Source organism: Homo sapiens, chromosome 5 (genome assembly GCF_000001405.40).
Source record: "Homo sapiens chromosome 5, GRCh38.p14 Primary Assembly".
Taxonomy (NCBI): Eukaryota; Metazoa; Chordata; class Mammalia; order Primates; family Hominidae; genus Homo; species Homo sapiens.
Genome location: NC_000005.10, coordinates 63882711 through 63892379, shown reverse-complemented (window position 1 = coordinate 63892379; position 9669 = coordinate 63882711). Strand labels below are relative to the sequence as shown.

The window sequence follows — 9669 nt, the reverse complement described above, 5'->3', positions numbered from 1 at the left end:
AGATAATACTTATACAAAACTAACAGTACCTGGTATTTAAAAATATTATTGTTGGTGCTTAATTACCATATAAATTTCTTCTGTGGATATTGGTCTATTAATATTTTATCCCTTACTAGAGAATATTAAAAAATTACAATTTGATAGAAATTATTCTTTAGATTTTCCAATTTATTATGGAAATATATTGTGTAACTACTGCAGTTTTCTGATGTGTAAACGGTTATCTATTTCAAGAATATTTATTTTGCTGATAATTAAATGAGTAATATGCTAAGGCCTTAGAATAGTAAGTACACAGTAAGCACTCAAATGTTGGTTTACATTGCAATAGAATTGCTGATATCACTTTGTTATAATACTGTAATTCATCTCTTTTGGCATGTTTTTTATTCTTGGTGTTTTGCTGTTAAGTTTGCTATAAATCAGTTATTTATAAGTTCCTTTTGGTTTAATTTATACTTCCTTTTAGTTTTGAAACTTTAAGCTTTTATCTTCAAGTATGTCTTCTTACTTGCTTTTGATATATTTTGCTCTTCATTTCCTATTTTCTTGAACACTCAGCTTATTTATTTTCCGTTTTTATTGTAAGTGATAAAAACATTTTTGGGTGTCTGTAATTGTCTAAACTATTATCTTTTAAAATTACTTTCTAGATTACTTTTGTTTTGATTTTCTCTTTTATCCAGGAGTTTTAAGAGATGATGTGATAATTTTTGCATGGCTAAGTTGGCATATTTTGACTGCACTTTTTATTGTATATTTATAATTCCTTTGAGTGATAATCAGGAAATACAACTTTAAGTTTAAAATTTTGAAGAATATATCATAGTTTTTTGTTACAAGATAAATCTTATAAATGTTATATCAATACAAGGAAACAATGTATATTATCTGAAAAATACAAAACTCTCACTCTCATATATATGCATATATATATACTATATATATATGTGTGTGTATACATATATATATATAAGCTATCCCATTGAAATGTAATCATTAAGAAATTCAATTCCTGTGAGAGAGTAGGAGCCTATTTTGGATCAATACTTATTAATAAACACAGATGGCCTAATCACATTGACTAACCTTCTGCCTAATATCCCCTATCCCTTTTCCACTAGCCCATTCTAGTGCTTAAAAACTCTCCTGCTTTTTGTTTCAGTGGAGTTGAGTTCAATCTTGCTCCCCTATTTCAATAGCGTTGAATAAAGTTTTTCTTGTCATTTTAACAAGCATCGGTTGCAATTTCTCTTTGCACCTGACATTTGTTAAAATGTAATATATTACAGCTTGCTGACTTTATTACTCAAATTCACTATGTCCTTTCTTATTGTTGATTTTTATCGCTTTTCGACTAGTTGGAGCCCTTATAGTTTCTATGGAATATGATGAAATGCCTATGTATCCTTACAAGTGATACAAACTGGTCCTTGGTTTTTTTTTTTTAAAGTAATTACTGTAGAAACTTGATTTTCTCTGAATCTTATGAAATGGACAGATGCATCTCATATCCAAAAAATGTTTGGAATGGAAGAGTTCACAGATCAAACCCAACCCATTTTTCGTCAATATAAAGTGAGTAAGAACTTGCAGAGTACTTTTTGTAGGTCTCACAATAAATTAATGGCAGCACTAGGCCTTAAACTCAAGTTTTAAACTTTAGCTATCCTTTTTACTCTTATAAGAACTAAGCGAATCTTCTATGAGAAACAGTAGAGAGGAAAGCTCATTGACCGGTACCCTTTAATGGAAAGGAAGGGAGAATCGGCAGTGGAAAGGCATTCGGTTTGCATTATTTCTGCTAAGAGGCAGGTTCAGACCAAAGACTATGAAACTGTTGAGACAGCAACATACTCAATTGTGGAGTATCCAGATTTAGCCAGTAAAACTACAGATGTCTAGTTCAACTTAAACTCATGATAATTTGTTAAGTATAAATATATCCCAGACAATATTTGGGGGCACATTGCAACTGAAAGAATATTCATTGTTTACCTGAAATTCAAATTTAACTGGGCATTCGGTAGGACTTTGGGAGATAATAGAGACAGGTGAGTGCAAAACAATTCCAAATTCCTATATATATTCAAGCGAAGAAAGGAGATATACTCTATCCTTGTAACTATCAAGTTCTGTAATAAATCACATACAGCACTTACTGTGTATATAGAAGCTTGGATATCTTAGGTGTGTGATATTTGTGAAGCCTTATTACAGATTTACTTTCCTTAAGTTTCATATTAGGAAAAGAAGCCTCATTTATAGGCAAAAAATAAGTAAAAACAGGTACATTGGAAATGGAAAATATAACACTGGGATTAGATCCTCAGTGGAAGCTTTATCATGTTTTTCTGACAATTCATGAGATAAGTACGTTTATAATTCAGGAGGTTGATGAGGACATCAAAAGACAGTTTTCTTAAAGAGGATGTTTTTCTTGATAAGTTCTTTGTTGTAGTTAGGAGTTTGTACTCAAAGGATAAAAAAACATGTCTCTGTGACCATTGAAAATTACAAAAACAATTGATTTTATCAAATTTGTTAAAGGCATTGTTTTAGAGCATAAGAAATACAAAAAATTATTAGCTGGGTGTGGTGGCGTTTACCTGTAGTCCCAGCTACTCGGGAGGCTGAGGCAGGAGAATCGCTTGAACCTGGGGGAGGTGGAGATTGCAGTGAGCTGAGATTGTGCCACTGCACTCCAGCCTGGCGACAGAGAGAGACTCCGTCTCAAAATAAAATAAAATAAAATAAAAAAGATAATGCTTTATACATGTAGACCAATTTGTGCTGAGTGTTCCTGCTATACCAAAAACAAATTGAATTCGTTGATCAGTTAAAGATTTTAAAAAGCAATGCTATTTCATGATAATGTCCCAATGTAAATTTGGCTATACTATGATTGGCAGTTTGGCTTCTGACCTCTGCCCTGACTGAGTGGGATTGAAAAGCATCCTATATTTCCTGCTGCAGAAGAAGTCTTAAGAAATTGGTAGCTATGGGCAAAAGAACCATTCACCAACAGGTCTAATGTCCTCTGTCTAAGGCAGTGGTCCCCAACTTTTTGGCTCCAGGAACCGGTTTCGTGAAAGACAATTTTGCCACAGATGGGGTGTGTGGGGATGGTTTCATGATGGAACTAGTCCACCTCAGATCATCAGGCATTACAGTCATAAGGAGTGTGCAACCTAGATCCCTCTCATGCACTGTTCATAATAGGGTTCACACTCCTATGAGATTCTAATGCTGCTGCTGATCTGACAGGAGGAGCTCGGGTGGTAATGCTCACTCCCCCACAACTCACCTCCTGTTGTGCAGCTCAGTTCCTAACAGGCCACAGATCAGTACCAGTCCTCAGCCCCGGGGGTTGGGCACCCCTGGCCTAAGGCACTTTGGTTCAGTGATGCAGAAACGGCACAGGCAGGGAAGTCCATGGATTCTCATTCCTGCTACTTACTTACAGACCAATCTTGCCCAAGTCACTGAGTCACCTTAATTCTATAAACCTCAATTTTCCAGTTAGCAAATGGAGATAATAACAATGCCTGCTGAAGTCCCTGAATTACTGTTGAACTCACATAAAGCATATGTATATAGGTTGTAGAACTTGACATCATATGCCTAAATCAGAGTCCCACTAGCTTTCCTGAACCAAAAACTAAAAGGCAAAGATATTTCCTACTGCAGTAAAGATATTATAAGACCCTAAAGCCTAGAAACCCAGCCTACCATTCTTCATCCCACATAAGGTAATGTATAATGGGCCATGTTCTAGGTAAGCACAAATGTATGGCTATTTCTTCAGGCCAACTCACATTTGGAAATAAAATCCATGAGACTTGAGTGAAACAGAAAAAACTAAGTCTGGAAAATGATTGATTACTATTTGAGATGAGCTCAAAAATTCAGTTGAGACTCTGGGGAAGTGCTTCTTAAATTCTTGTTATCCCTTAAAATTATGAATAATAGCCATATGAATTCTTCTCCTGAAAAGGCAAAGGCCCTTCTCTTGCCAAAACTTTTCACATCGACATTGTTCCAAAAAAGCAGCTATAAGAATGTGAACCTCTTAAATATTATATCTTTTGTCAGTATTCCGAAAGAAAAGGCTACTAAATCTGTTCAGCCTCTAGCCCCATCTAACCAGAGGCACCAAAGGAGCAAGGAAACACAATCAGAGACCCGAGCTGTCCTCTTAGAGAAGCCCTGGAAGTAGGCTTCTGCCTTTAATATTGTTTATCCAGTAGCTGATCATATTGCCAGAGAAAAGAGCCACGAGACTCCTTCTCCCATAGTTTGTCATTGTCAGCAGGCTTTTGGCTGTCAGCAATAAGGAGCTTTACTATTGCTTTCTCTGTTTCGTTCTTAACACAATTCAGCAATGCACTTTCTACCTAGGGACTCTGAGGCAAGCACAACAATCTTATCAATAAATCCCAAGATTTCTACCCCTTACTCCATTTTCTAATCTAGATTTTCAAAAATAAAACTTTGCACTAAGGGTGAGTTAGTTGTGAAAATTAAATTACTTAGTTTCCATTCAGAACATATAAGTGTATAGCTCTTAAGCTAAGGAAAATAGCAGCTCCTTAAGCCTTGTAGACTTCCCTTGTCCTTGGCTGTCACTGCCAGTAGTGTTTCTTGACTGAAGACTTGGGGTATGGGCTAGACCAGATCTTAGAAATGCTTGTTCCCTGGTGCCATAAAGAAATAGCACTTGAACATAAATTTAATTTCCTCAGCAAGGTCATTTCTACTTTCTGCAGAAAGGGTACACTCGTCAGCAGTTTTGCCACGAGAGTACACCAAACAAAGGAGACAGGGTCATTCATAACCTGACGCGTACACCCTACTGCTGTGTCCGGTTTCCATTGGCTGGAATGGGACTTCACATTCTGTATTTGTCCCAGTTGGCTAGCAACTTAGAACTTTTTAAAAGAGGCAAAGGCAGAGGAGAACAAAGGAAGGAAGAAGTAACTTGTGGAATGCTCAGAAAGGTAAAAACACCTGCAAATAAGGAAGAGAAACAGGTTATGACCTAATGCTTGCTTGGACCAGTATAAGCATGCCAGTTCAAATATTTAGGCTAAATTGTGGGAGCTAAGAACATAAAGTACCTTGATTTCTTTATTATGGCTAGCAGATATTTAAGAATGTTAGCATAGGTCTTTGAATACATTTGCTTCTAAGAGAAGTTACTATTTATTCCTAATTAGATGGGGAGGAAAGTCTTTGAAGAGGAATCTCTACTTTACTTTTTACACCAGATCATCAGGTTTTTGCTACTGTTGTTATCCATTGGTGATCAAACCAAGTTCTCATGAGCCGTTATTAAAAATCAATGACCTCCATTATCTCTATTACTGTTAAGACACATACATTCTGTGAGAAGAAGCAGAACTTGGGTTAAAAGCATGGACTCTGGAGTTTAAACTACCTCAGTGTTACACTTAACCACTTGTTGATTTAGGGCAAGTAACTTACTTCTTTCTGTGCACATTTCCTAATATTATACATCTATAGAGTAAATACAATAATAGGTCCTACCTTATAGAATGAAAACATGTAAAGTACATCACACTGTGCCTAGCACTTAACACAGAGATCAAAAACACCAGCAGTCATCATCATCATCATTGTCATCACCATTACTATTGTTAACTACAGAGATTGATAGAATTAAATATTATTTTCATTTATCAGGGATAAAGGATTTTTTTGAAAACACACTTTAAGTTTATAGCCTTAATAAAATCTCCTGTAATATATTTAATATTGTTCAAACCTGAGATTTTTGAAATGGTCACAGATATACTTGCACATGTAAAAGCAAATGCAAATTAAACATAAGAGGTCTAATTCTTTCTGTTGAAAACTAGGGAAGAAACTTCTTCCTTTTCTTCAAGCATTTACTTTAGAAAACTTGTAAGTTCTTCCCTATCTTTTTGAAATGTAGGTAAATCTTTCAAAAGCTCAATAATCCTCTTACTACTGTTACAAACCAGGAGTGTCTTTCTCAGGGACCTGGGAACTATCTCTTTGAAATATAATTGTGATATTGTGATTTATAACAATAAATATATATTTGGTCCTCCTCTTTCCTGGCATATAACTCTTAAAACCCTTGGGATTTCCAGAGGAATGTCTTTTTGTGTGCTGATGAGCTGCCTGATGACTGTGGGCTCCTGGATAGCCTTGGGATTGGGACTAGTTGCCAAAAGAACCAACTATATGATCAGAGGCTTGCAACTTTCAGCACCACTCCCTGACCTCCAGGGAGGAGGGGTTGAAGGGTAAGTTGATCACCAATGGCCAATAATTTAATTAATCATTCCTATGTAATGAAGTCTCCATACATATTCAAAATGACAGAGTTCAGAGAGCTTCTGGGTTGATGAACACCGCTATGTGCTCAGAAGATAGCGTACCTCAACCCACTCCACAGGACAAAGCTCTTGTGGCTGGGACTCCTCTCAGCCTCACTCTATGTACCTCTTCATCTGGCTGTTCATCTGTATCCTTCATCGTAGCCTTCATTTTATAATAACCCAGAAACTGTAAGTAAGTGTCTTCCTGAATTCTGTGAGACATTTTAGCAAATTTTCAAACCCAAGGAGGGCATCATGGAAACCTCTGATTTGTAGCCAAGTCAGATGAAAGTTGTAGGTAACTTGAGGATTCACCACTTACAAATGACATCTGAGTTTGTTCCATTTTCTTTATAGATATATTACTTTATTGAGTTGGTTGAATCCTAAAGTAATAGATACATTCCATCTTTTATAAATAAAAGTAAAACAACTGATTTGGTTCTCAAGAAACTGATTATTAGAAAAATAGTTCAAATATACAGGTAAATATCTAGCTATTGAAAAAGCCATCAGCCTTACTTCATTTGAAGAGAGGCCGTGTGTGTATCCAGTGCCAAAGGCAGCACAGATGAGGCAGAAATCTAGAGCAATGGTTCTTAAATTTTAATATTCATCCAGATCACCTGAATGGCTTGTTTAAACACTGATTTTTGGGTGCCACTCCCAGAGTTTCTGATTCAGTAGGTCTAGGTGAGGCTTAACAGTTTGCATTTCTAACAAGTTCCCAGTGATGCCAGTGTTTCTGATTTGGCTACCACACCAGTGAGTAGAGCATTTCCCCATCTATACATTCATTCTACAAATATTTACTTAGTGCCTACTGTGTGCCAGGGACTCTTCTATGAGCTAGGGACACAGCATTCAACAAAATGGACACAAATCTATATTCTCAAACATTTTATACTGAGGAAGACAAAGAGTAAACAATATAAACAAATAAAATATATAATACACTGGTGGTAAGCGCTAAGGAGAAAAAAAAACAGGATGTGAAAGATATGTGCTGTGTTGGGTATAATGTCAAAATTTTGATAGAAGGTGAGTCAGATAAGTTTGCCCTGACAAGATATTTTTGAATAAACCCTAAAGGAAGTGAGAGCCTTGTTCATAAAATGTCTGGGGGAAAGCATTTAAAGCAAAAGAAAAAGGAAATACCCAAGCCTGAGGCCAGAGACAGCCTGGCATGGTCAGAGAATTCCAGCATGGGTTTACAAAGTGATGAAGAAGAGAATAATAAGAAATAAGGCCCCACCGGGCATGGTGGCTCACACCTGTAATCCCAGCACTTTGGGAGGCCAAGGTGGGTGGATTGCCTGAGCTCAGGAGTTCAAAACCAGCCTAGGCAACATGGTGAAACCCTGTCTCTACTAAAAATACAAAAAGTTAGCCAGGCATGGTCGTGGGCACCTGTAGTCCCAGCTACTGAGGAGGCTGAGGCAGGAGAATCACTCGAATCCAGGGGGCAGAAGTTGCAGTGAGTTGAGATCATGCCACTGCACTCTAACCTGGGCAACAGAGGGAGACTGTGTCTAAAAAAAAAAAAAAAAGAAATAAGTTCCCAGAGATGGGGTGGAGGTGACCATCACAGAAGACCTTACAGGTACTATGTGATTATCATTGTGTGAGTGAGATGAGATGCCTTTAGAGAGTTTTAAGCAGATTAAATCGAATTTATATTTTAATAGCATTACGCTGAATGCTCTGTTAAGAATAAAATGAGAGGCAAGAGCAGATGCAGACAGGCCAATGGGAAGGCTAGTGTAACAATCATATGGTTAAGTTTACTTAGTGACCATAGGCACAGAGTGTACTTCAATTCAGTGGTCTAGTCTTTCTAGCATGATACAGTTAAATCTCCACATAATCCTCAAAATGGGGCCCAAAATATTAATTGCATAAAACATGTAGTCTGATTATTGTAAAGTTAATGAGAAAACAAAGGACAAAAAAACCATTGAAACTTAGGTAGAAGACTTACTATACACAGAATTGGGAGCAAGTTTCAATAATCACAAGGTAATTGCTTCCTAAGCCTTCTCTGGTTTCCTGCAGAAGATAAGAACTTTAGCTCATCCCCGTACCTGCCCCGATGACCACCATCTAATCCTTCAAGGTGGATGATGGCTGCTAATGTCTAGACCAAAGGTGGTTAGCCATTGGTGCTGATTCAAATTGCTACAGAGGCTACCTGTTCATGGTCGTTAAATTTAAGTTAAGGTTCTTAGGAGGCTGATTCATCTACGTCTAGGCGTACAGACTCATTACAGGATTTAACACATTTAACAATACACAGGCATACCTTGTTTTATTGTGTTTTCCTTTATTGTGCTTTGCAGATATTGTTCTGTTGTGCTTTCCTTTAATTGTGTTTTGCAGATATTGTGTTTTTGTTTGTTTGTTTTTTACAGGTTGAAGGTTTCTGGCAACTCTGCTTTAAGCAAGCAAGTCTATTGCTGCCATTTTTTCAACAGCATGTGCTCAATGTCTCTGTATCACATTTTTGGTAATTCTCTCAATATTTAAAACATTTTCATTAATATTAGGCCTGTTCTGGTGATCTGTGATCAATGATATTTGAAGTTACTATTGTAATTGTTTGGGGGCACCACAAACTGCGCCCATATAAGATGGAAAACTTAATTGATAAATCCTGTGTGTGTTCTGACAGCTCCACTGATGCCTTGTTTCATCATCTTTTTCCCCTCCTTGGGCTCTTTATTCCCTGAGACACACAATATTGAGATCAGACCAATTAATAACCCTAAAATGGTCTTTAAGTGTTCAAGTGAAAGGAGGAATTTCATATCTCTCACTTTAAATCCAAAGCTAGGAAATTAAGCTTTGAGAGGAGGGTATGTTGAAAGCTGATAGACCGAAAGCTAGGGCTCTTGTAACAAACAATTAGCCAAGTTGTGAATGCCCGAGAAAAGTTCTTAAAGGAAATTACAAGTGTTACTCCAGTAAACACATGAATGATAATAAAGTGAAACAGTCTTATTTCCGATATGGAGAAACTTTCGTGGTCTGGATAGAAGATCAAACCAGCCACAACATTCCTTTAAGCCAAAGTCTAGTCCATAGCAAGACCCTGACTGTCTTCATTTTATGAAGTCTAAGAGAGATGAAGAAGCTGTAGATGAAAAGTTTGAGGGCAGCAGAGGTTCATTCATGAGGCTTAGGGAAAGAAACCATCTTCATAACTTAAAAGTTTAAGATAAAGCAGCAAATGTTGATGTAGAAGTTGCAGCAAATTATCCATAATATCTAGTTAAGATGATGGATAAGGATGGCT

The 9669-nt window shown here is 36.8% G+C and overlaps 1 long non-coding RNA gene across 1 annotated transcript; it reads left to right on the top strand.

Annotated features, from left to right (window-relative positions):
* The first annotated feature begins 4962 nt into the window (after nucleotides 1-4962).
* Nucleotides 4963-8860, top strand: LOC105378999 (uncharacterized). The gene is made up of 3 exons (XR_948375.2): nucleotides 4963-5003; nucleotides 6144-6299; nucleotides 8786-8860. It is a non-coding gene; the product is annotated as an uncharacterized LOC105378999 (long non-coding RNA).
* The last annotated feature ends 809 nt before the right edge of the window (nucleotides 8861-9669 follow it).